General features: G+C 43.7%; 1 protein-coding gene across 9 annotated transcripts, besides 1 other annotated feature; it reads right to left on the reverse strand.

The window, feature by feature from the left end:
• On the reverse strand, positions 383–27,184 carry MPP1 (MAGUK p55 scaffold protein 1). 9 transcript variants are annotated; one of them, NM_001166462.2, is made up of 13 exons: positions 26,971–27,184; positions 21,444–21,592; positions 13,841–13,984; positions 13,468–13,546; positions 12,682–12,767; positions 11,653–11,721; positions 7,903–8,099; positions 6,750–6,856; positions 5,727–5,807; positions 5,126–5,206; positions 3,299–3,501; positions 2,938–3,012; positions 383–1,052 (listed from the first exon to the last, which is right to left on the reverse strand). In NM_001166462.2, the coding sequence occupies exons 2-13, from the start codon at positions 21,453–21,455 to the stop codon at positions 876–878; spliced, it is 1,311 nt and encodes a 436-aa protein (NP_001159934.1). In that variant the 5' UTR covers positions 21,456–21,592; positions 26,971–27,184; the 3' UTR covers positions 383–875. The 9 variants fall into 9 exon arrangements, with proteins under 9 accessions (NP_001159934.1, XP_047298079.1, NP_001159932.1 ...); XM_047442123.1 differs by lacking the exon at positions 21,444–21,592 and adding an exon at positions 26,396–26,526; NM_001166460.2 differs by lacking the exon at positions 21,444–21,592 and having other exon boundaries at positions 13,892–13,984.
• Positions 27,149–27,308: a silencer, noted in NCBI's record as "silent region_21119". NCBI's record gives its function as "represses an Ori minimal core promoter by ATAC-STARR-seq in GM12878 lymphoblastoid cells {active_cell/tissue: GM12878}" and the evidence as "EXISTENCE:reporter gene assay evidence [ECO:0000049][PMID:35858748]".

Raw genomic sequence — 27,308 nt, forward strand, 5'->3', positions numbered from 1 at the left:
AAAAAAAAGCGCTCTTGGATGCAGCGAGGCGAGGCCCTGAGCTGTAGCCATATCATGAGCCAGGCATGCAGGGTGGGCCCCAGCCCTGGCTCAGCGACCGGCCTCCACTGTACCACGGGACCCCAGGCTTGGATTTTCTCTCGTTCTAAATATGTGCCCACAATGAGCGCTCCACTAGCTACAACAACCTTAAGGGTGTTTTTCTACATGGGCACTAGCCAGTAGAGCCCTGCAGTGGGGGCAGAGAATGGGGACTCTTCCAGGGCACCAGTGTTTATCATCTGAACACAAGAGAGGCATCTTGTGTTAATGCTGTTGTCCAGGAGCTTAAGTGAAATGGGCCACATTTCTTTTTGTGTGGAAACCCAGAGTTACAAGGTCATTGGCATTTCAACACAGCATTTTTATTGCTTTTGAAGGTTTCCCTAGAGCAGACATCATTCTATTGCACAGATGTGTCATTTTGGCATTATAGAAAGTTGCAGTTAAAAACGCTTTCTCCAAAATAAAAAGACAAATGAAATACCCAGCATATACAGTTGAAGGCAAAGGAGGGCAGGCTTTAGAGGGATGGGGTCCATTGCTTTTGCTGTGCATCACCCTTGATTAGCAGTTACATTTTGGTAGTACTTCTTACCCCCAATTTCTAGAAATCCTTTTCAAATCCAGATCAGTGGGGCCCCATCTATCAGGAGAATCAACCCTTCAGGAGCCTGAGCAAGAAGACTGAACCTTACTGGCTGAATTAGGATAGCTGCAGAGAGCTGGAAGCTGACACAAAACTAGTTGGAGCAGCCCTGTTTGTCTTAAAGCAAGGCGGGTGGAATTCCAAATGCTGGAGAGGGGCATACAGTGGGTTCCCCCATTCTACAAGCTTAGTAAACCCAGGAGACAGGCACCCACTGTGGAGAACTGCACGCTTGGTCGAAGGCTTCTTGTAATTTCTTAAGGGTTTCATCAACACCATTATTGACCAGTGAGAGGTCAAAGTAGTGAGCGTACTGGCTGCGGATGGCCTCAGAGTCCTTCTGCAGCTGCTGCAGGGCTTCTGTCTGCAAAGAAGAAAGCCACAGATGAAGCAAGCTGCACCACCCCCAGCCCAGAGAGGCCAGTGACAGATTTTAAACAGCAATTGTTAGCGTTGCTCAGCTGTGCATCATACTTGACGAGTCAAATTCAGAAGACATTGTGAAAGAATGTTAATGTAGGGCATGAAGAGGCAATCTCAAAAGACCATGGCAATTCTCAGAGGATCTCAAGCTAACCCTGACTAATCAGAGTCCTCTGGAGGACCAATAGCTATGCAGAGACAGCATGGACTTCACCAGCATCTCCCACTTAATGCCCTTTGAACATGGAAGAGCCATTTCAACAACCACCAGAGCTGCAATCCTAAAACGAAGATAAAGGTGATTTTGTTGTTTTGTTTTGTTTTGAGACAGTGTCTTGCTCTGTGGCCCAGGCTGGAGTGCAGTGGCACAATCTCGGCTCACTGCAACCTCCGCCTCCCGGGTTCAAGCAATTCTCGTGTCTCAGCCTCCCGAGTAGCTGGGATTACAGGCATGCGCCACCACATCTGGCTAATTTTTGTATTTTTAGTAGAGACAGGGTTTTGCCATGTTGGCCAGGCTGGTCTGGAACTTTAGACCTCAGGTGATCCGCCCGCCTCGGCCTCTCAAAGTGCTGGGATTACAGGTGTGAGCCACTGCACCCAGTCAGATAAAGGTGACTTCTAATCCCAGATCACACCTGTAATCCCAGCACTTTGGAAGGCCAAGGCAGGATGATTGCTTGAGCACAGGAGTTCAAGACCAGCCTGGCAACACAGTGAGACCCCATTTCTACAAAAAACAAAATTTAAAAATGTGTGTGTATATATATCTCAGGACTCTGTCTTTGACCTAAAACCAAGCAGCCATGAAAGACAAATCATGTAACTACATAAAAGTAAAAATGTCTGCATAGCAAAAAGACATGCCAAATTGGAAAAAAATTGCAGCTGATATTACAAAGGGCTAATTACCCTAATATAGACTTCCTATAAATCAAAGGTCAATAACTCAGCAGAAAAATGAGCTAAGGGTATGACCAGATAATTCTCAGAAAAGGCAATACAAATTGCTCTTCATATGAAAAAGTACCTGATCATCTCTTTTAGTAAAAAAGAAATATGAGATACTATTTTTCCCTCCAGTAGACTGGCAAAAAAAGAAAATTTTGACAACATGCTGCAGGCAAAGAGAAACAAGCAGTCTCACAGGTGGTTGGCGGTCCCTGTCCAAATTCTAAGTGTGTGTGCTCTTGGACCCAGTGATCCTACTTGGAGTTTTTCCTACAGATATATTTGCACACATGTGCTATATGCACAGGGCTATTGACTGCAGTATTACACATGCATGCAGCAGAAGACCAAGCAGCTATAGAGAAAAAGAGTTCCTCACACCCTGATAGGGAAAGGTGTCCATTGTTCAATGCAAAAGCACAGTGCAGCAAAGTGCATGGGTAGGGCTGGGCAGAGGAGCAGGGTAGGCTTTTTGATATATTCCTGGCCTCTCTGTCTTTCCCCACAGCCATACTGCACCCCAGGGCGGGTTCAGTGCCACCTCTGTCCATCACAGCTTCCCCTGCCAGAGCCTGCATCCCACCAGTATCAGGATCTGCTCAACTGTCCATCTCTGCCCCTGGAACTGTGTGCCTCCAGGACGATGACTGGGTCTGGTTTGTTTTGTCCCTGTTAGGTAGCATGGGCACTGGCCTAGCTAGTGGCTTAAGAGCTGGAACGAATGTGCATACCCTTTGGCTTCTTGGCCCTGGAGGAAGAAGCCCAGCTGGAGCTGTGACCTCCAGCCAGCACTCTGGCCAATGACCTGGACTGAGGTCCCAGTATGGGCAGGCCCGGAGAAAGTGAACTACCCATCGCGCACAACCTCTCCTCACCTGAGTGCCCTGGTCAGTAGGTGCAATGAACACAATGAAAGGCGAAAGTTCTGCTGTCCGAACAATTTTCAGGGTCTAGAAAAAAAAAAGAAGGGCGGCGGGGAGGGGGGGGAAGGAAGAAAAGGAAAGTGAAAAAAAAAAACCTACATAGCTGTCATAATGGATTCCTTCTAATAAGCAGCTTTGAGCTTTACCCCAATACAACTTTCCATCATTCCCAGTACTACTGTTCTTGTTCCAGGCTGACCCCATTAAAAGGCTGAAGCAATCCTGAGCCCCCAGAAGATTCCCAAGGAGCACTGTCTTCGCCATCCCTTGTGTGGCTGAGCCCATCTGTCCCTGCCCTTCCATGCCTACCCACCTGGGGCTCAATGTCAAGGATGGCAATCTTGTTCTGCTTATGGATCTGGTGCACTGTTTCAAATTTGGTGCCAAACATGTTGCCTTGGTAGCTGCCAAACTCCAAGAACTCATTGGCAGAGATGTTCCTCGTCATCTCCTCCGTTGAGATAAAGTGGTACTCCTTCCCATCTTCCTCACTCTTCCTTGGCGGCCGTGTTGTATCTGTGTACAAGAACCCAAATCCCCGACAAACTCCAGGTCCTCACCCTTTCATGAGGGCTTGGACCATGGTGTCTGTATGGAAACCCTAGCTGCCTTTGGTGCATTGACTTTAATACAGGGGTTCCTCCCGTGGGCTCCTGAAGAGCTGATGCTAGAAAGTGATGCACACCAGGAAATCCCTCCATCTGCCCAGGACACATTTAATTTTTAAGGGGCAAAGCCTAACATAGAAAATTCCTATTATCATTTTCCCTAAATGAAGTTACATCTCTCAAACTACCAAATCTAGGAATATTGAAACTTAGAAATGAAGATAGCGGAAAATATTTTAAAAACAGATCTACAGACTATGGTCAGGATTTCTTGGAAATATATTTAAGGTTTCCTTTTCATGACTTGGAAAGAAGAGTACTTTGGTTTAGTTTCAGCTCATGTTGTTAAAAGTTGGACTATTTTCTATTACTCATATAAATTGTCTAATCAGTAAAATATGCTCCAGATATTGTAGCTTGAAACACAATCCTCCCAACCTCCCCTCTTTCCATCTTCCATTGACTGTCTCCTTTGCCTTCCGGATCACACTTGTCTCTCAACTGGCCCCTTCCCCTCAATCTACAACCACATGTGATTCTCTTGAAGGAGGAGCCTGTACTGGTTATTTCTGCTTCCCCACTCACTCCTGGGGCCATCTCTTTCTGCTCCTAATGTGACACTGGAATAACTCTTATGTCCCTCCAGCAACGAGACAACTCTCAATGATCCATGTGTAAAAAAGCAAAATGAAGAAAGAATTAAAAAATAGTAATATGAGGTTTAGAATCTGGTTTTCTATTTTGCTTAGCAGTACAGTAATTCCTCACTTAATATTATTATCAGTAGGTTCTTAGAAAATGTGACTTTAAGTGAAATCACATGCAGCTGGTCGTTGACTAACATGGTTTAGTTCAACTTCATTTCATTGTATTGTTGATGAGTAAAAAAACTGGTTCTTGTTATATGTCATTTCACTTAAAGTCACAGTCTTCGAAGAGCCTATTGACAATATTAAGTGAGGAATCACCGTATTTCTTTCTGGGAACATACACAACTATACCATGCAGCATCACTTCTGGGAATGGAAGAGTTATCAAATTCTCCACCTGATCACTGGCGCTACTCTTCTCCATATCTAGGACTGCTGTTGAGATCGTTTGGGCCTTTCCTAGGCACTGCTTTGATTTAGAAGACATTCCATGAAAATGAGAGGCAGCCTGAACATCAAGAGTGGGATAGTTCTCAAAGAGAATTAGGCAAATTGCAGAGGAACATGAGAAAATGTTTAAAAAGTAAAATGACAAAGTTATATGTATAAACTTTAATACTTAGTAATTTTTAAGGCAGTATCAAAATGTTTACTATAGCTTCTGTTATGTAGACAAACAGCACGAATAACAATAAGAAAACAGTTATTCTGTTAGGTGGAGGAATTGTGGGCACAAATTTTTATCTTTCCATATTTTGTTTAGTTTTAATAATCATTTAAAATAAAATAATTTAAAAAATAATAAAATAACACTATGGTATTTCAGATGGCGAGTGGTACCAGCCTGTCACCTCCCCTCCAAGGTGCCTAAGAGCTACTTACATGGGACAGGGTACACAAACTTCTCCGGATTCTGGCTGAGCAGGGCATTCTTAATGTGGCTGCGACCCACCCCACTGGCTCCTGTGTAGAGAGAGAAGAACATCTTTTGGAAAGGGGGGAGAGGAGCGAGGATAAGATACGGATTTTCCTCTCTCGGCACTCAAAACTGCCAACAGGTGAACATGAGTTGGGGTTGCATCTGGGCTGGGGTCAACTCTAAAGACAGGAAGGTGAGCAGTCCGCCAGAGGCAAAGCCTACATACCTGGGTTTGAAGCAAGGACTTACTCTGTTTCAGGTCAGAGTCACTGCTTGGGGGAAGGGAGATTTACAAAGCGTATCACTGCCAGCAGACAGCATGAAACCTAACCAAAAATAATTCGTTGCTAAATAGTAGAGAAACTTGTAAGGTTTAGTTTCATTTGTGAGGTGGACCCAGGTGGGGTGCACGTGAGGATTCAGAAAATTCCTTACACCTGCTCTATATGGAGAACCCAAGAGACCTCAGTTCTTTTCTTCCTCACTGCCTTTTTTGGGGGTGGGCACGTGATGCAGGCAGGAAAACAAAGACAGAAATGTGCAAATGGGGCAATGAGAAGATACCGATCAGCACCAGGGTCTTCCTCTTGAATGCAGGGAGCCGAACGACTTCCTCGTAGGAAACAACATCCAACTGATCAAAAACTAGAGACAAAGAAAACCAAGCAGTGTTCATTTCCAGAGCTAGGGAGAACAGTGGTCCACACTCTGAAATGGGAAACAGCCTCGCGACATCTCAACAAGCAGGGAGGAAGTGACTAGAGATGAGACGAGGGAGGTTGGTGTGGAGGAAGGACTTTGGACTGTATTTTTAGTGTGGTGAGGGAATTTTGAGCAAGGGAGTTTATCTAACTTTTGCACCCTCTCTTCCTCCTTGCCCTATCTCTCTGAGCCAACTTTTCTTGTCTCCTGTCCTCATCTCTTCTCCATAGTTTCAGTATCAGATGTTCCCTTGGCACTTAGAGCTGAAGAATGCCAATGCTATCTCGGTTCTGCCTGAATGTCCCTTATCTTAGAAGATGGTGGTGCTATTGACCCAGCTGCTCAAGATAGAGACCTGGTGTCATCCTGACTCTCCACCCCCTTACCTGCCTACAACCCAAGACTGCCACGATCATTCCCTGGCTGGTGGTGTGCACGTGACGTCTCAGAAAAGAGAAATGCAGATGGAAAGCTGACCGTGCGAATTCTCTGCTCAAAACCCTTCACCAGCTCCACAGTCTATAGTGCAAAATTTAAAACGCTAGGGAGGGTGCACGAAGCTCCCTATGACCTGGCCCTGGCCTCTCCCTCTGGCCTGTGTTCTTGCCTCACTTCCCCTCTCCCACCACATCTACTTCTGTGTGAGGGGTGGGGTGATGAGCAGGTGTGGGCTCACCACTAGTCCTCCTTTACATCCACTGGCCTGACTGCAGCAAGCTTGTGAAGATGGATTCAATAAAAAGAAACCAGAAGAAATGACATGCTTTCTGTAGAATGCGCCTTCTGCTGCGCACTGCACCACCTCCCCTTTTCTGCTGGTTACAGAGACTGGGAAACACGTGAATGCTGCCAGGAACCTGGGGCAAGAAGGCTCAGAAAGCTTACTCGAGCTGTGCTTGGCCAGATATTTGTCTTTGTACTTCTTCTTCTTCCCAAAGGGACTGCAGCTCGGGGCTTCGCTAGGAGCTGACTGAGCCATACTTGCCACTCGCCTGGTAGGAAAAGACAATCAAGGGGTCAGCTTTCCTCCCCCTCCCCTCATACCCCCCCCAGCCACTCAGTCTCTAATGGCACCCCCTTCACTCTCTGAGTGTCCATTACAGTGGGAGATAATGTGTGCAAAGCACCCCATACACTGTTTGGTGCATCTTGCACTGTGCCCTGCCCTCAGTCAGGGACCTGGCTCCTTGAGTCTGTGTCATCTAGTACCTGTCAGCACATTCTGGACACAACCCACAAACAACTCTCTTTCTTTGGTCTAGACCATAAAGGTCTCAAACCTTTATGACCCTACCTCACTCTAAGAAATACACTGTACATTGCAAGCCATTATTGCACATACATCTATAAACAAAACACATACACACACCCCACATATATATCTAAAACAACTGCTTCACAAAACAATAACTTGTATTACTACATGTAATATATTCTAATATTTCTATTCAGTGTCAACCCCACAATGGTTGTAATCTTTACACTGGGGTAAGTTTGCACAGGCAGAGGGAGGCTCAGTGTTGGATGTCTTATCAGTTGGAACTGTTTTGTGAATTTTTCTGCCATTCCTATGATGTAACCAGGACTAAGTGAGCAATCTGACTCGGGGACAGGAATTATTTCTTCCATGTACCAGGAATGTGCCTAAAGGACACATACTTAAATGCGACTGTTTTCTGCAGGACTCCAAGGAAATCCCAGAAACAGCATGGCTGGTAGAAGCGCACTAGCTTGGGAAACAGGAGACCAGGGAGGGCTCAGTCCCAGCACTGTCACGTGCTTGGTAACTATGGGGAAAACGTTTAAGGAAGCAAGAGGCCCACATAAGAATGAAGAGCTATTTGGGCTCCCTTGCCTGTGGTTGCCTCTCAGTCCAGCTTATCAACGCATGGTTAACCCTCCCCCACCCATTATGCCAGGAAATCTAGGAGGTCTCCTTGGTTGAGAAACAGAAACTACAAACAAAATGACAGATTTTCTGAAGCTAAGTTATTTGTGGCAGGCACATGGCCCTTCCACCTGCACAAAAATGGCTCACCATTCCTGCAGCTCAGGGGAAGGGATCAATCCTGCTGACTCCTTGGAGGAGCCTTCCACCCGTCCCTGCCACCAATTGCTGTCATCCTTGTTGATAATCTGGATAATGTCCCCAGTAGCAAACTTCAGTCCCGCCTCCTTGCAAGGGATCAGATTGTCCTTTTTGGGATCATAGTCAAACTGCGCTCTCATGAACATCTAAAAAGAAGGTAAAAGGAACTGCAGGCGGCAGCTTCAAAAGAAACACCAGCATCAGAGCATGTCCTGCTGTAGACAAATGGGGTCAGGATGGAATGAACAACAGGGAGGTAAGAATGGTGGGGGAGCACCCAAGAAAGAGAAATTGAAACGCTGAAGTGATTGTGTTTGCGGAGGGGTCAGAATGAATCCCTTTAACAAGAAGGCATGAGAAGCCAGGCGCAGTGGCTCACGCCTGTAATCCCAGCACTTTGGGAGGCCGAGGCGGGTGGAACACATGAGGCTAGGAGTTGGAGACCAGCCTGGCTAACATGGTGAAACTCCGTCTCTACTAAAAATACAAAAATTAGCTGGGTGTGGTGGCGTGCACCTGTAGTCCCAGCTACTCGGGAGGCTGAGGCGGGAGAATCGCTTGAACCCGGGAGGTGGAGCTTGCAGTGAGCCGAGATTGTGCCACTGCACTCCAGCCTGGGCGACAGAGTGAGACTCCGTCTCAAAAAAAAAAAAAAAAAAAAAAAAAAAGAAGGCATGAGATATCTTTCCACGTCAACGTGTCCACAGTTACTGCTGGATCTGGGTCGTCTGTCTCAGTACAGGGCAGCTACTCTTTGAACAACTGTTTTCACAATTGAAAATATGGACACTCATATCTATCAAAGAACTTGAATTTATTATTGAAAATTCTCCTCTCCTGCTCCCAAACACACACACACACACACACACACACACACACACACACACACACACCTACCTCATTACTTCATTGACAAATTTTCCAAGCATCATTTGAAGAAAGAAGGCTAATCTCATACGAAAACAGATTATAGAAAATGATGGCACTTCCCAACTCATTATAAGCATGATACCCAAATCTGACAAGAATCTTATAATTTCTCTCTGCAACAGAGATGTAAAAACCCCAAACAAAATATCAGCAAGTCAAATTTAGTTATGTATAAAAAGTATAATAAATCACAACCAAACAGGATCTAGTTCAGCAATATAAGAAGGTTTACTACCTGAAGGGCAATAAATTCACCACGTTAACATAAAAATGGAAAAAGATCATATGATCCCCTCAATAGATGCAGAAAAAGCCTGTGATAACATTCAAAACCCATTCAAGATTAAAATTCTTAGCAAACTTGGAATAGAAGGGAGGTTCTTTACTGTGAGAAAGAATACCTACAGAAACCCTACATCCAACGTCATACTTCTCAGTGAAAGATTAAAAGCTTTCCCTGCCTTTTTCAAAGGACATGGGTCTTGCTATGTTACCCAGGTTGGTCTCGAACTCCTGGGCTCAAGCAATCCACCCGCCTCGGCCTCCCAAAGTGCTAGGATTACAGGCGCATGCCACCACACCTGGCCAGCTTTCCCTTTAAGATGGAAAAATAAACAAAGATGTCTGCTATCATCACTTCCACTGGGATACTGTGAAGATGCCTCTTTTATCCAAACTGATATGTAGGTTTGACACAGGGATAAACAAACAGTCCAAAAGAAAAGAATAAAAAGTTCCAAAATAGACCTGTAAATATTACCATGACAAAAGTGACAGTGTACAGTAAATGATACTGGTTCAATTGGTATCCATATGGAAAAACTGGAATCTTGACCTCTTACCTTACAATGTATATAACAATCAATCCCAGATGGGTTGTGGATCCAAATGTGAAAAATCAAACAAGTAAGCATTTAGAAGAAAACACAGGAGAATATCTTGTTGACCTTGTGGTAAGTAAAAACTTTTAAAACAAGACATAAAAAGTGCTAATCAGAAAAAAGTGGTAGATTGGATTTCATTAAAATTAAGAGTTTCTAGTCATTAACAGGAACCATGAAGAAAATAAGCCACAGAAGAAGAGAACATACTTGGGATGCATATGACAAAGGACTCTTATCCAGAATATATGAGGAACTGCTACAAATCAGTAAGAAAAGCCTTGAATTGGTATCTTACAAAAGAGGATATCCAAGTGGAAAAAAACATATAAAAAGGAGTTTACCCTCATTAGTCATTAGAGAATTTTTAGAATCACAATGTGATACCACCATCAGGATGGCCAAAGGGTGAAAAAAAACCCAACAAATCAGACAATGCTAAGTATTGGTGAGAATACAGAACAACCAGAACTGTCATACTGTGCAGTTGGGGATGTAACATGGTTCACCAACTTTGGAATACTATTTGGCAATATCACCTAAAGATGAAGACACATATATCCTACAACCTGGCAATTCTACTCTCAAAAGAAAGGCATAGATGTATCCACAAAACACATGCACAAAAATCATATGATTTTTCTCCATTTTTCTGTTAACGTGGTGAATTTATTGCCCTTCAGGCAGTAAATCTTCTCATATTGCTGAATTAGATCCTGTTTGGTGAATGGCAGCCATTCAATGTAAGACCAAAAAAGCTGACAGAATAGATTAAATTGTAGCATGTTCATACAATGAATGAATGAGAATGAAGCAATATAGATGATTCCCATAAACATAATACTGAGCGAATAAAATAAGACACCAAAGAATTCATACTGTATAATTCAACGTTAATACATTTCAAAAGGGGGCAAAACTCATCCCTGCTGTTAGAAGTCAGGGTTATGGTGGGCCTTGAGGAAACACGCATGGTGAGGGGGCGGCGGTCTTAGGCATGGGTGTACTCAGTTTGTGAAAATTCATCCAGTTTTATACTTGTGATTTGTGCCCTTTGTTGAATATATGCCCATATATGCCAAAACTGCAATTTAAAAGTTTACTTAAGAAAATTATACCGTCACACTACAAGTAACCTGCAATAGAAACTTCAGATTTATTCTTTTAAATATCTCCTTCTTCCACATTGACTTGCCATGGCCCTGTCCAATCTATTCCTCTACTGGCTGATGAGCTATGTGTGAACTGGGAACCATTTCTCTTTATATCACCTCCATGTTCTAGCACAGTACTTTGTACATGGTAGACCCTCAATAAATTGTGAATAAGTGCTCAACAGATTCTATCTATCTTTTGTTTCTTTCTTTACTTTGCCACTATCAATCACGGGGCTTTATTATTGCTATTTTAAAAAGTATTTGCCAATTTGCTTGGTGAAAACTGGTGTCTCATGCATATTTTAATTTGCATTTCTTTGATGATCGGTAAGATAAAATATTTTTTCATATGTTCAATGCTCATTTGTAGTTTTCCTCCTGTGAATGATCTCTTCATTCCCTTTACCCATTTTCCTCTTGGAGCTGTATTGATTCCTTACCATCTGTAGAATAAAATTACCCTCTCCCTTCCTACCTGACCACTAGCAGCAAAGGCTCATTCATTCTCTACTCCTGTCGTCACTATGTTCTCCATTGAGGAAAGGGGAATGAGCTCCTGTATTTTATACCAGGCAGGGAATAATGGGACCCTGAGCCAAGCAGCTACACACTTGCGAGATACTTAGAACTTAAAGTTAGACTCACATCCCTTATAATCAAATTTCAAAGAATATAAGACAACATGGCCCGACTCCTGCCATCATGACAACAGAGAAAATGGTGCCACCCACCTGTAGTGCAGGAAGACGGCTTTGCTGGTTGGGAATTACTTTTAATGAGATCATTCCTTTGGTTTCTTTCTATTAAAAAAAATGGACATAAAATTGTACAGAAAACTAAGTTGAATGATGTGATCATTCATTCAAAGTCCCAGGTTTTTTTCCCCAACAACCATCTTTACATTTTGAGATTTTGTAGGACAATTCCTCCTTTAATACAAAAGTGTCATGTGCCCCATAAATCAGCATAACAATATGAAGACATGCAAAGAGTAACAAAGAAAAGCTAACTAAAGACTTTTCCGAGCTGGGCACGGTGGCTCACGCCTGTTGTAATCCCAGCTCTTTGGGAGGCTGAGGTGGGCGCATCGTCTGAGGTCAGGAGTTCAAGACTAGCCTGGCCAACATGGTGAAACCCTGTCTCTACTAAAAATACAAAAATTAGCCAGCGTGATGGTGGGTACCTGTAATCCCAGCTACTTGGGAGGTTGAGGCAGGAGAATCGCTTGAACCCAGGAGGCGGAGGTTGCAGTGAGCCGAGATCACGCCATTGTACTCCAGCCTGGGTGACAGAGCGAAACTCCATCTCAAAAAAAAAAAAAAAAGACTTTTCTTCCCCATTCTTTACCCCAAAAAGTCCTGAAGAAGTTCCTAAAAATGAACTATGGCGCATATATATCCACGCCTTTCCCCATACCAACAAAAGCATTACAAATATTTACATACATTATGCATACATATGTATTGTTTGTTTTTAACAAAAATGGGATTCTACTATATACGTTATAGCTTGCTTTACTTCATTTGGCATTACTTCATGGAACACCAGATTGATGCTCTGGGTTATTTGCCCTGCTTTAGAATTTTACTAAATAAAGGCAGAAAATTATCATTTCTTACACAGATTAAAGACTAGCAGTGAAAAGAGCCCCCTCAAGAAGGTACAAATACTTTGACAGAGAGATGAGGTCACTGATACCAATGTGGATCAACACTTATGGAGACAATGGAAGGTCTTCATCTAGCATAGAAAATACCCACCATCGCCTTCTGCAGCTGATCCACTGAATGATTTGTCACATTTGTGCCATTGATTTCTAGGATCTCATCCCCCACGTGAAGGGAGCCTGCCATGAAATGAAAAATCAATCCACAAAAGAACAAAAGTTCAAACAGGAGCTGTCAATGTAACTCAAGATACCATAGAAGAGAAACCAGGATTTACAGCATGTTATGAAACAGATTGTGTCAAATACTCAGGATTGAAAACATTTGACTTGACAGTTTAAGATGGTCTCATCCTCCTTGGCCTCAGTAGTCCAACAGCACAATAAAACACCTTGTCCTCAAATTCCTGGAACTAGAGTGGCTACTGACTCCAGACTATGACACAGATGTATACACTAAAAAGAATAACAAAGCAAGGCAAAGAACTCAGTACTCCTCTTTCACCAGCAAGCTCCATGTTTCTTTGTTGTTTAGCTCAAACCCCAAAATGCTACCAAGTGGTACTGCTGTCCTTTCCAAGTCTAATGCAATGGGTGGCATGTGGCAATTGCTCAAATATTAACTTACTAGAAAAATATTGGTATAAATAGGTGTGAAAGAAGGCTCAGATAGGGAGATGGTGGCACTGGGCAATTCACATAGAGATCTTATCATGTACTGATTCTACAGAGCCAGTTATTAAGCCACAAAAAGTCTCTTGGCACACTCACAAAAATGCTACCAGTTTGGAGGATTATAAGCTTCATGCCCCACACCACTGAACAGGGAGTAAATTATTAATCCCTGAATCAAACCCCACCCAGAGCTCCCACAGAGTACCTTGTCTATGGATCATGCCACCATGAAGAATTCTGGCCACCGTACAGGACTGTTTTTCATTCAGCTTCAGCGTGATTCCCTGAAATAAAGGCGACGGCACAATAAGCTTTATTTTAAGCTCTTTCTGAGGTTATTTTAGAAAGAACTTACGGTAATTTCTCAGGAAAATATTTTCCATTTATACCCAGGATAGTCCTCAACTAGAACAGGCATGAAGCCTGCTTTGAGGAGGAATTTGAGATAAGAATGAAAAGACAATTTTGGGGTTGGCCAATTCCCTAACTCCATGAGCAGCCTCTTGCATTGACTCTTCTGGCCCAGTGACTCATGGGGCAGAGAGTAACTGGTGGGCGACAATATGACGGGGGATTACCATGGGCTCTTCTGTGACCTTCTCAAACTGTATGAGTCGCACTTTCCGCACCTCCTGTCCCTTGACCTGGGCAGGGCTACCTGGGGCAGGAGACCCGTTGGTGTACATGTCCTCGGTCACAGTATTCAATGGATGCGATACAGCCTGCCAAGCCAAAACAACAAAGCAACGTATGAAATCAGGAGCAAGGCCCACAGCCAGTCCACAATCTGCAATTCTAACATTCAAGAGGCTCTGAAAACTTATTTCATAAGTTTGGCCTCATTCTTATTTGAATTGACATGAAGCTGTTTGTAAGCTTTATTTCTCCAACTTAATAGACATGTCAGCCAAGTGTGGTGGTGTGCACCTGTAGTCCCAGCTACAGTCCCAGGGCAACAGAGTGAGACCCTGTCTCTAAAAATAAATAAAATAGACATGTTTATCTAGGTTGCTGCAGAAATATTAATGTGCCTTGATTTACATGGTGCTCTCCTGGATCCTGCTTGGGGTATTACATAATATATAACAAAATTAGAAAGATTCTGAATCCTGCGGCACCTCAGGCTCCAAGGGTTTCTGGCATGTTCTCTTCTCCTTTGTATTTCCTTGAACAACCTGATGCTCTCGGTCACACAGCAATAAAGGTAATTCAGGTTAGCATCAGTTTCTCATGAATCACCCCTTAGGCTACAAAGAACTTCTACCTGTAGAATTAGGCACTTAGGACTGGGCCCCGAACCGCGGTGATAACAATAATACATTGCCACTGTGACTTCTTCCCCTGATCTCAAAGACAGCAAAGCTAAATGAGTTACTCTACCAGGCAGCAAGGCCTCTTTATTATAAATCTAAAGTAATTTAAGGCACTGTGGTAAGAAGAAAGACAAACGACCCATGTAATGGAACAGAGAGTGCAAAAACAGAGCCACACATTTATAGTCAGGTGACACTGCAGTGCAGCGGGGAAAAATGGTCTGCACGATAAATGTCATAAAAGGTCCCGAGTATAAAATGAAAACTAAAAAGACAAACACTTTAAAAGTAAGAAGTCTATTCATCAAAAAACTCCACTGAGATAAGCATAGATTTAGTAGACGAGACACGGAGCAATCATCATACAAGCAAACAACTGACTTCATCAAATTCAAACATCTTACATAAGAAACTAGACAGGTATGACACAGCCTGAGAATAAACATTTGCAATATTTACATCTGACAAAGGATTTGTATCCAGAACATATAAAGAACTCTTACAATTTAATAACAGGATGAAAAGAACCATAAACAAATCCTGAACTTGAGCCAATGATATGCATGCTGAAGCTTTCAGGGGTAAAGTGCTCTGATATCTGAAACTTATTTTGAAATACCAGGAAAAAGAAGGTGGATAGATGGGCAGTTTTTGGATAGAAATGTGATAAAGCAAACACAGCAACATGTTAACTGTAGAATCTAGGAGGTGTGGCTATATGGGTGTCACTATAAAATTCTTTCATCTTTTTGGCGCCATTCCAAGAGCAGCCAGTACTCTTTAAAAAATATTATAAAATTTAATTTTTGAACCATTTGAGAGTAATCTGAAGACTTCATTCTCCTTTACCCATAGATGTCTCTATATGTTAGGAACGAGCATTTTCAAAACTGAAAATTTAACATTGACACAATATTGTCATCTGCCAACCCTTTCAAGAATGTCCTTTATAGCTATATATTTCTTCCCCAGTCCAGAATCCAACCTAGGACTTTTTGGTCCCAGAATCCAATCTAAGACCAGAATCCAATCATGCATTTCACATTTCCTTACTCTTCCTTAATTTGGAAAATTTCCTCAGCCTTTCTTTTTCTTCTTTCATGACCTTGACATTCTTGAAGAGTACACACCTGTTATTTTGTAGATGTCTCTCAGTTTGGGGTTATCATCTGATGTTTTTTCAAGATTAGACTGGGATTTTGCATTTTTGGCAGGAATTCCAGGAAAGTAGTGGTGTGCCCTTTCCAGAACAACACTACTCTTAAAAGCCCAAACCTGAAAATAGCCCAAAAGTCCATCAACAGTAGAATGGATAAACTGAAGCATATCCAAGTGGATACCCTACATCAATGGCAATGAATGGCTACTGCTACACCACTCCATGGTAGATCACCTGTGGATCAGTCTCACAGGTGATCACTCTCTTCTCCTTAAAATGCTCCTTCTCAGTTTGCTTTGCTGTTCTTTCCTCATCTTACTGATCTGGGTAAGAGCAATCACAATGGGGAAAAACTATGGAAACCTCTGAAAATGCTCCCTGCCCACCCCAGATAAAATATTAAATCAAAAATGATATAGCCACCTGGAGGAGGAGGAGGAGGACGAGGAGGAGGAATAGGCCTGAAGTGGGCTTATGGAAGGGTCTGCTGAAAATAGGGGATAGCTGCATTCCAGTCACACCCAGAGGTGACCCTCAAAGACAGTAGGGAGGGAAGATCTTCCCAATAGGCAGAACTGTGAGGAGTGTGCCATTCACTGTGTGGGGAAGGAGAAGGGTCCCTAGATGGGAATAGATGGTATGCCTGAGCAGTGTCCACTGGCCTGCCCAAGGCCTAGAAAAGGACTAGAAGATGAGAGAGAAGGAAGTCTGGAGTAGAGGCTTACATCATTTCTAAGGGACTCTGATTTCTAAGTAGAAACTTTGATAAGATGGTGAGGTTTGGGCCAGGTGCAGTGGCTAACACCTGTAATCCCAGCACTTTGGGAGGCCAAGGTGGGGAGATCGCTTAAGCCCAGGAGTTTGAGACCAGCCTGGGCAACATGGTGAAACTCCTGCCTCTGTAAGAAATTTTAAAATTAGCTGAGTGTGGTGGTGCAAGCCTGTGGTCCCAGCTACTCAGGAGGCTGAGGCAGGGGGATTGCTTGAGCTCAGGAGTTGGAGGCAGCAGTGAGCCATGATCACACCACTACACTCCAACCTGGGCAACAGAGGAAGACCCTGTCTCAGAAAAACAAACAAACAAACAAACAAACAAAAAACATGGTGAGGTTTGAAGTAGTATTCGCTATCAGGTGACCTCAAATGAGGGAAGTACTGAGAAAGAGAAACTGCCTTCTCTAGCAACTAGAACTTCAAAAAACTCACATGACACCAAGTCATATGGCATTGCTGTTATAACAAAATTGTCTAAGATAGGCTTATATTTAAAAAATTGACTTATGATACCCGGGATACACCATGTAGGTAGGAAAAGGAGGTTCTGAGGGTGATCTTGAAGATTTATTGTTAAGCAAAAAATAATAATAATGTGATGAAGGGTATACTAGCTTCATCATAAACAGTGAAAGAATGATTATATTCATATTTGCTTAAAAATCCATAAACTGGCCAGGTTCAGTGGCTCACACCTGTAATCCCAGCACTTTGGGAGGCTGAGGTGGGAGGATCACCTGAGGTCAGGGGTTCGAGACCAGCCTAGGCAACATAGTAAAACCTCGTCTCTACAAAAAATAAAAAAATTAGCCGGGCATGGTGGCGTGCACCTGTAATCCTAGCTACTCGGGAAGCTGAGGCAGAAGGATTGCTTGAGCCCGGGAGGTCAAGGCTGCAGTGAGTTGTGATTACACCACTGCACTCTAGCCTGGGTGACAGAGTGAGACCCTGTCTCAAAAAATAAAATAAATGAAAATACATAAACTATGTCTGGAAGGAGACATAAGAAACAGTGGTTGCTTCTAGGGAGAGGAACTGGGTGGCTATAAGATGGGGTGAGAAGGAAATTGTTTTCACTGTGTATCAAGTTATACCTTTTAAATTATGTATTATGTGCTTGTGTTACTTTAATAAAATAAATTAGTAAAAGAATTTTCCAAAGTGATTGGGACTCAGGTTCAAGTACTTGTGTGGATCTTGTCCTGCCTCAACCTTGACCCTGTTTAAGTAAGAGTAAACGGGAGGAGGGAAATAGAAACCCACAAAAAGTCATCAGGGTTGAAGGATTTCTTTCTCTTTGTTTTTTTTCCTTTTCTTTTCTTTTCTTTTTTCTTTTTTTGAGAAAGAGTCTCACTCTGTCACCCAGTCTAGAGTGCAGTGGCGTGATCTCGGCTCACTGCAACCTCCGCCTCCTGGGTTCAAGCGATTCTCCTGCCTCAGCCTCCCGAGTAGCTGGGATTACAGGCAAGCGCCACCACACCTGGCTAATTTTTGTATTTTTAGTAGAGACGGGGTTTTACCATGTTGGCCAGACTGGTCTGGAACTCCTGACCGCAAGTGATCCACCTGCCTCGGCCTCCCAAATCTGCTGGGATTACAGGCATGAGCCACCATGCCCGGCCAAGATTTCAATAGCTTTCCAGAAGACAGAAAGCAGATGGAGGAATGACCAAGGAGAGTTGAGACAGCTAGAGCCTAGAATGTGCATACAGGAGGCACCAGCCAAAGAGGCTGGGAAGATTAGTTTAGTTGAGCATCTTGCCATCCCAAACAAGATCAGGGATATGTAAGTGAGAAGTGGGATGTTGGATTGGCAACCAGTTATAATAATCTAAAAACCACTTATTGATTTTTACTTTTTAGAACTCACTTAGAAACAAATCATGAAACAAATAACAGACTGTAAATATCAGCACCATGACAATATTAAGGTACACATGTCCATGATAGGAAGTTGGCAGGTAAAAAGGGGAGAAAAATCGAAAGGAAGAGGCCTGTAATCTTGTTCTGTTACAAAGTGGGGAGTCAAGAAGTAGGATCTGCATTGGTTGGACAATAAATGAAGGAGTGAATGCATTACATAAAGTTCCAAGCCAGGTGTGGTGGCATGTGCCTGTAGTCCTAGCTACTCGTGAGGCTGAGGCAGGAGGATCATTTGAGCCCAGGAGGTCAAGGCTGCAGTGAGCTATGATAGCACCACTGTACTCTAGCCTGGGCAACAGAGCGAGACTCTATCTCTGGAAAAAGAAAAGAAAAAATCTCCAAAGCAGAAGTTGCAAACTGTTTTATTTCGACCACATGTCTCTGTTTTGTTTAGTAAAAATCAGGGGACTCCAACTTCTTTTTAAAGTATCAGAAGATCTGGCATCGCTCTCCAGGTGGCCCCAGCTCTCACATTCCTTACTGATGCCTCAGCCAGAAGCCAGTGTTGGCTACCGATCACCCTATATCTGGGGTGTTATTTTTCTCATACACGAGTGCTTTCACTCACTTGGTCCATGTAGGTTACACTAAAAGCACGTATACATGATGGAAAGGTACAGACCCATGAAAAGCTAAAATAATTTTGAAAAACAAGAGAGTAGGAAGACTCAGTCTGCACAGTTTCAAAACTTACTGTAGTATAGTCTCAGTAAAGACTATGTGGTATAGACATGCAGATCAAGGGAACAGGATAGGGAACCCAGAAACAGACCCACAGAGATATGCCCAGTTGATTTTTAACAAAGATGCAAAAGCAACTCAATGGTGCTGCAGCAATTGGAAACTCATCACCAAAAAGGGAAATGCTGACCTGAACCTTACCTTCTAAAATGGATATGGACTTACATGTAAAGTGCAAAACTAGAAAATATATTTGAAAAAAATAGAAGAAACTTGTCAGGATCTAGAGCTAGGCAAAAAGTTCCTATACATGACATCAAAAGCAGAATCCATTAAAGGAAAAATTGGTAAATTGGACCTCATCAAAATGAAAAACTCTTGTTCTGTGAAAGCCCACATGAAGATTGTGAAAATACAAGCTACAGACCGGGAGAAACATTTACAAACCACATATCCAATAAAAGACTGGTATATAGAATATAAAAAGAGAGTGCTCAATACTCAACAGTAAAAACGAACAATCTAATTAGAAAATGGGCAAAAAACATGAACAGATATTTCACCAAAGAGGATATATAAAGATGGCAAATGAGGATATAAAAAGATATTCAACATCATTAGCCATCAGGGAGAAATGCAAATTAAAACAACAATGATATATCACTACACATCTATCAGAATAGCTGAAATAAAAAAATAGTGACAATACTCATAACTGGTGAAGCTGAGGGAAAATTGGGCATCTCATACATTGCTGGTGGGAATGTAAGTGATATGGCTTCCATAGAAAATAGTTGAACACTTTATTAAAAAACCAAACACACAACTACCATAAAACCCAGGGATGACACTCCTGGATATTCACCTAGAGAAATGGAAATTTATGTTCACTCAAAAGCCTGTACATGAATGCTCATAACAGCTTTATTTATAACAGCCAAAATCTATAAAGAACCAAAATACAGGTGAACAGTTAAAGCGTGGTACATCCATACCATGGAACACTTCTCAGCAATTAAAACAAAAAACACTATTGATACTAAAACAACTTGGGATCCAGCTCAAAGGCATTATCCTGACTGAAAGAAAGCTAATCTATTTCAAAACATCACATACTATATGATTCCACTTATATAACATTCCTAAAATGACAAAATCATAGAGACATTGAACAGAGTAGTGACTGCAAGGAGTTGCGGGGATGGGGTAGGGAGGAAGACAAGTGTGACTATAAAGCGACAGCAGGAGAGAGGCCTTTGTGGGGATGGAACAGTTCTCTATCTTCATTGTGGTGGTGGCTAGAGGAATTTTATTTTATTTTATTTATTTTATTTTTTTGAGACAGACTTTCACTCTTATTGCCCAGGCTGGAGTGCAATGGCACGATCTCGGCTCACCACAACTTCCGCCTCCTGGATTCAAGCGATTCTCCTGCCTCAGCCTCCCGAGTAGCTGAGATTACAGGCATGCACCACCACGCCCGGCTAATTTTGTATTTTTTGTAGAGATGGGGTTTCTCCGCATTGGCCAGGCTGGTCTTGAACTCCCAACCTCAGGTGATCCGCCCGCCTCGGCCTCCCAAAGTGCTGGGATTACAGGTGTGAGCCACCATGCCTAGCTATGTCATATTCTTCTTATCCAGCTTTATTACAGTGATTGCTTTTTACATGTCAGCCTTTAAATTAAAGACTCAGCAAAGCTTACTAGAGGCAGAACCATTCCAGCTGGAAAAGTTCAAGAGTTGCCATCCCAAAGGTTGGTCTTTCAGATGTGCTTATCCAACAAGACGTTCCTCTTTACGATGACTAAGAGTCACTATCACGCTTACCCAGAAGTTGCAAATGATGACTAAGAAAAACGGAAACTTCCAACGTGGTAACTAAAGTACACACTTGCAACAGTAAGTTTTCCAAAAGCAAAGCACAATTTTCTCCACCGTGAACTTGTCCCTGAGCCACCCTGTCTTCATGAGACTCTCAGAAAGGGAGGGTCAGCTCTCTGTGACCTCATCTTACAGAACTCCTTCAACTAGTCCCCATGTCTCCTCATTACTGACACATCATAGGAGAAAAGATATGCAGACATATACTGTCAGTGACATGAGTAATGCTGAACAAATAATAAAGGTCAAAGGTACTAGATTCTATTTCTCAGAGTTCAGTTCACAACCTCCACATCATCCTCTCAAAGCAGCCACCATCATCTGTAGTGGATATAGGAGGCCACAGAGCTATGGCAGGCCTGCCCCTGACCAGTGACAAGGCAGGGCGGAAGTGGCTCTGTTAAGGATGACTGCTGGGATTCAGGAGGAGCCAGGGAATAAACACTCACCCAGGACTCCATGTCTGGCCTTTGTTCTGCAGCCTCTGGCCTTTAATCAGACAAAGTGCTGGAGTGGCAATGCCTGCCGCTCTGAAAGCCCCTTCAGAGGAAACATCTGCAGCAGGGTTCAAAGGGCAGAGGCAGTTGCTCAAAGGAAGCTGGAATTTAAAAAGAGATGAAAAACAAACTTGGCGGGGGGCGGGCGGTGGCGGGGGTGAATAGAGCAGGGGCAACTGAAGTTGGCTTTCTAATCCAAACAATTAGATTAAGTGACAGTGAACATAGGAAAGAACAAATATTTGCTCAGCCTACTGTTAGGCTCTTTGCCAACTGCTCCCACGTGGAGACTTAGAAAGCCAAGTCCAAGAAGGCGAGATGATGCCAGACAGCTGCCCAGCAAGCCCTGGCCCCAGGTGCTCGCAAATTCCCTCTCTTTGCATGGGCAGTATCCTATTCCACTTTGGGAAAAAACAAGAGAAACTGAGAAAGCCAAGGGTATTCTGAAGTATTAGAAAGAGATTAGCACTGTTTAACCACAAATGACAGGAACTAGGGAGAGAGGAAGGCCTAAGAGCCAGGATATTCTGGCAGGTACTGTCTTAAAATCATACATTAACCAGGTGCTTTGCTTCTCAGGTACTAAATCCATCTGGGAACACATACATCAACCTAAAGGCCAAGTCTCTAGAGATCCCTTCCCAACGAGCTTTTTCTACCCCATGCTCTCAGTACACATGCAAAGGCTTTTGCTTCCACTGGGGAAAAAAAACAACAGGAAACTCAAGTAGCACCGTTCCACACAGCAGAAACACAGGGCTGCAGATACCTGGCACTGAGTCCCCACACTGCCATTAAACCAGTGCCGGAGCTGTGTGCAAATAACAACACTCGTTAAATCAAATGCTCATCCCCATTCTGTGGTCAATATTTGAAGACATGAAATGGTTCAGAAACCTGTCTGAGCTTAAAGGATGAGTAAGCCTCAGACTCCAGAAGTTAAACTATAAGCATGGACTTTGGAGTTTGTGCAGGTACATGGAGAGAATGCAGGTGCTGTGTCCCTCACATAAAGGCTGCCTCTGCACTGTGCAGAATATTCAGAGATGATGGCAGGTGCTAAGGAGGAAAATAAAGCAGAAAAGGCCTCGCAAGGAAGATAACTTTTGAGGGAAAACCTATTATGTGTTTTGTTCATGTATATTTCTTCATATGAAAGAAAAAAAGAAAAGCAAGACTATGTTACGAAAGTTCCTCTTCCCCTCCTCTGGCGTCACTTCCCCTACCCCAGCCAATTTTGGAAATATGGCTATTTAGTCTTGCCTTTCTACACTCCACACCCAGAGTTCTTTTTTAGCAACACTGAAAGGTTAGAGACAACTCACTGCTTAGGAGAAAAATCTCTGCATCAACTAATTTTGTCTCCCCTCTTGACACTGTCTCAGGACATTATTGATTGTCACAACTTAGCGGCGAGGTATTACTTTTTACAACAGAATTATCAGACCCAAAGTGTTAACAGTGCCCAGGTTGGCAAACTCCAATTTAAGGGAATTGATCTTAACCTGAAATATCTGTTCCTGGTATTCTATTATACTTCAGTGTCTTGTGTAGGGAGAACAAATGAGTTAGAAAAGAATAGAACGTTCATGATGAAACTCAAATCTGCTTAGCCACAATAAAAGCAGATTCTTATCTGCAAGGTATCCTAAGCCCTTCCAGTTTTGAAAAAAAAGTCATGAAAGGCCCAGGGCGCTGGATCATACCTGTAATCCCAGCACTTTGGGAGGCCGAGGCAGGCGGATCACCTGAGATCAGGAGTTCGAGACCAGCCCGGCCAACATGGCGAAAACCTGTCTCTATCAAAAATACAAAAATTAGCCAGGCGTGTTGGCAGGCGCCTGTAATCCCAGCTAGCTGGGAGACTGAGGCAGGAGAATCGCTTGAACCTAGGAGGCAGAGGTTGCAGTGAGCCAAGACCACACCCCTACACTCCAGCCTGGGTGACAGAGCAAAACTCTGTCTCAAAAAAAAAAAAAAAAAAAAAAAAAAAACAAAAAACAGAAAAAAGTCATGAAGTTCCTGGAAGTGAAGGACAGGAAAGGCAGACTGGCTGAGACCACACCACATACTGGGGAAATTGGGCAGAGGACTAAATAATTTGAAAATTACACTTTACTTTCTAGTATCAGTTCTGTGAAAAGAAAAGCCTTGAACGGAACCATTTCCTTTGCAAAGGAAACAGCAAGATCCAAGTCTGCAGCGAAAGTTCTTTCTCAGGTGAAATTATAACTAGTCAGAAGCAGAGTCAGTGATCATGCACACCGTAGACTCAACCTCCTGCCATCGCAGAAGGTGCCGCACTCGGCATGCACCTTGGTGTCCGTGCACAGGCTGTTCCCTCTGCCCAGGTACCACCTGCCAGTTACAGCCTAGGTACTGCGAAATGCAAGAGCCCACTGTGCTGGGTGCCCCTCCTTGCTCCACAGCGCTCCACAGCTGCTTCTATCACATCACCACCACACTACTGTATTTGTTTCCATGTCTGCGTCCTTCCTTATTTGCCTCTTAGTTCCAGCAGCAGACCTGGAGTAGGCAACAAACAACACTGCGTCACACTCAGTGACCACCAGCGGGGAGTAATGCTGCATGTGATGGCCTAAGAACCAAGAAACAGGTTTTCTTGGTGGAAATTTGCCTGGAGCCTGACTTATCTGTTAGGTGATTTTTTTTTGATGTGGGATAGGCCCAAGAGAATTTTCAGGGATTCTCAACCAATTGCTTCAGGTCCTGGGGAAAGTGTTGCTTCAAACAGGCCCGAAGAGAAAAGCAGTATTGGGAATTTTACAACTACTTTTATGTGCATTAATGGATACTGCTGTGAAGAACAAGGCCAGAGAGAGCTAATAAAATTAGTTTCTCCATTAACCTGCCTAGACCACATTGAAAAGAAAAAAAAAATTAGTTTATCCAAGGAAGGAGATATACTTAAATAGGGGAGATAGGCTACATTCAAACCTATTGCAAAATTACCTTTAGACAATATTCTTTCAGTATTAAATGTGGATTATAATTGGAAGTGAAACTTTGTTTTGAATCGGTAGCCTTTTTCCATAAAGTGACACCTTTAAATGAAACTTTCAGCAAAATAATTTTATAATTTCTATTGAAGCCAACAACTTCCTCACAGGTTTTCCTGCTTCAAATCTTGCCATTATAGGAAAACTTTCTGACTGCTACTACTGGGCAGGCAGCTCCTAGGGAGATACTGGGTCATTACCCTGGATGTCCCAGTGTGGCTCAAGGTCCTTGTCAAGCATTATCTCATGTAAATGTTGCCACAACCTTCCAAACTTGCCAGTTTCATAAAGGAGAGAAACCTAAGGCACAGAGAGCTTCAGCAGCTTGCCCAAAACCATGCAGCAAGTGAAAGGCAGAGCTTGCTGCTGCAGCAAAGACTGGTAAGAGCCCCAAAGGGAAGGTGAACCTAAAGAAATAAGAATCCGCAGGTTGTGGAGTCAAGCCACACTTCATCGTGTGAAGAGTCTCCCTCAGATGCTCACTTTGGCACAGCTGGATACTATTTCATTCAGGGATTCAGTAAGTTTTCTTATTTGATCTTCTTCAAATCCGTTAGTAAAAACCAAACAAATTAGCTAACTGGTAGACTATCTCCAATATTACAGTATAAACTCACAGCCCCACAAAACGTGCTGTTTACTCAGAGGTTGTGCCCACAACATAACACTGGTGGTGACAGGGCCTCTTTTCAAAAAGGCACAGTCTTTCAAGCATGCCCATAAGGGAACACATAGGTTTACATAAGAACCCCGACACAAAATACATCATACTGTAGGATTCTATTTATATAAAATTCCAGAAAAGGCAAATCTATAGTGACAGATCAGTGGTTGCCATGTTCCAGGTGGAGGAAGGTGACTGACTGCCAAGGGTCACAGGGGAACTTCCTGGAACCTTGAAAATGTTTATTCTTTGTCATGATTGTGGTTGTCGTTACATGACTATATACATCTGTCAAATGTCATCAAACTACACAATTAAATTTCATGAATTCTACTGTATGCTAAGTGTACCTCAATAAGACTTCCAGAAATAAATAGATTTTTTAAAAATAGTTGAGGCTCAGCCAAGTGAGTACTGATTGTGGGGAAGAAAAAAATCACAAGTCCAAGTTTATGGGGAATCAGGTAACAGAACTTGTAATTTTGTCTCATCATCTGTATAACAATAGCATCTTTCATGCCTGTATTATTTCTGCACTCATTTAAACTCAGGCTGTTGCAATCCTGATTTGAAATGACAGGCAGGTGTGAATGCCTCACTCGAGTGGAATATAAAGGGTAAGGCAATGCGGTGCAGCAGACACAAAATCTAGCCTCAGTTCTGATGCCCATTACTTGTTTCCTTGAGTTAATGCCACTTAGCCCAAAGAGTCTACAGCTCTACTGCTTGCCTTATGTTGCAGGGACCTTCAGTTTTTTCATCTGTGAAATCGGAGGGTTACTGTAAATCCCAAATGTCCATCTCTTCAGTCATTTATTAATTTAGCAAACATTTCTGAGGACCCACTTATTGGGCACTTAAAGAAGTGAGTATGACACGGCCCTGCCCTAGAAGACCTTGCAGTCTAGGAAGGAGGTTCATGCTGTGACTTCTGAGCTTCTGCCTGGCTCTCTGGTTCTCTCTGGACATTTTCCCCTTGGGACCTGGCCAGCATGCTGTGAGGAAGACCAAGCCACAGGGAGAGGCTGCTGGTTGATTTTCTGGCTCATGGCTCATGGCTCCAAATGAGTAAGTGAGCCGTGTCCCCACCTGACAGACCCTGAGTGACGACCACCTTGCTGGGCCCAATCAAAACGAAATATGAGAGACAAGAAAATGCTCAGTGTTGTAAACCAGCGAGTTTGGGAGAGATTTGCCAGTAACAGATAAGCACAACCTACCCTTAGGGCATCTTTGAGGACGGAGGTTAATAGCTATTTACCAGCCATCCATCCCTGGAATCTGGATTCCTTGTTCCACCCGCAAATATACACTGGCCACCCTCTTTGCACCATAGCACAAGGGGACCTGCCTAAATGAAGAGGAACAGTGAGTGAGCTCTTTAGAACCAGAAGCTGGCTTTTACAATCATTTCTGCTGACCCAAACACAAGCACTTCAACAACAACCAGGCAGACCTACTCCTTGATGTGTTCCTTAAAGACTTTCTGTTACTCTGACTTCCGTCCACGAGGAAGTTTTCCTTGCCCTTAATAAGCGCACTGTCCAGGCCGCTGCCTCTCCTGATTTCCAACTGGAAGGACTGCTGGGGGCAAGGATCCACTGCACCAGCAGCCCGGTACGAACCCGGCCGCGCGCTGGCCTTGTCCTCACCCCGCCGGCTATCGCGGTCTCCGACCTATGGCCAGGACCCGCAAGGACAGGCCCCCCGGGGACAGGGACCGGGACAGGGAAAGTCCCGAGATGAATGGCCGAGCCCCGGCCCAGCGCCCTTGGGACTAGCGGGGCCCGCTCACCTCTGGCCGACTACGCTTCTGCAGCAAATGCTCCAGGTAGAGGTCGGAGAGCGCCGTGTGCATGCTGCCCCCACTCTCGCCCTCGCTCGCCTTGAGGGTCATCTCGCAGAAGCTGGAACACTGGAACGCAAGACAGGGCAGCGCTGGGAATGACAGGGCCCGGGGCCTGCGGGGCTGCGGAGAAGGCGGGAGACGCGGTGCGGCTGGGCCAGTCACCGCCCCGCAGGCGGTGCGCCGGGAGGGCGCGGACGGAGCTCCGCCTACGGCCCGCCCACTCCTGCCCTCGCTCCGCCCATGGAAGTCTCCCACGCCCCGGACTCCGCGGCTCCCTGCGCTCC

This window comes from Homo sapiens, chromosome X (genome assembly GCF_000001405.40).
Source record: "Homo sapiens chromosome X, GRCh38.p14 Primary Assembly".
NCBI lineage: Eukaryota > Metazoa > Chordata > Mammalia > Primates > Hominidae > Homo > Homo sapiens.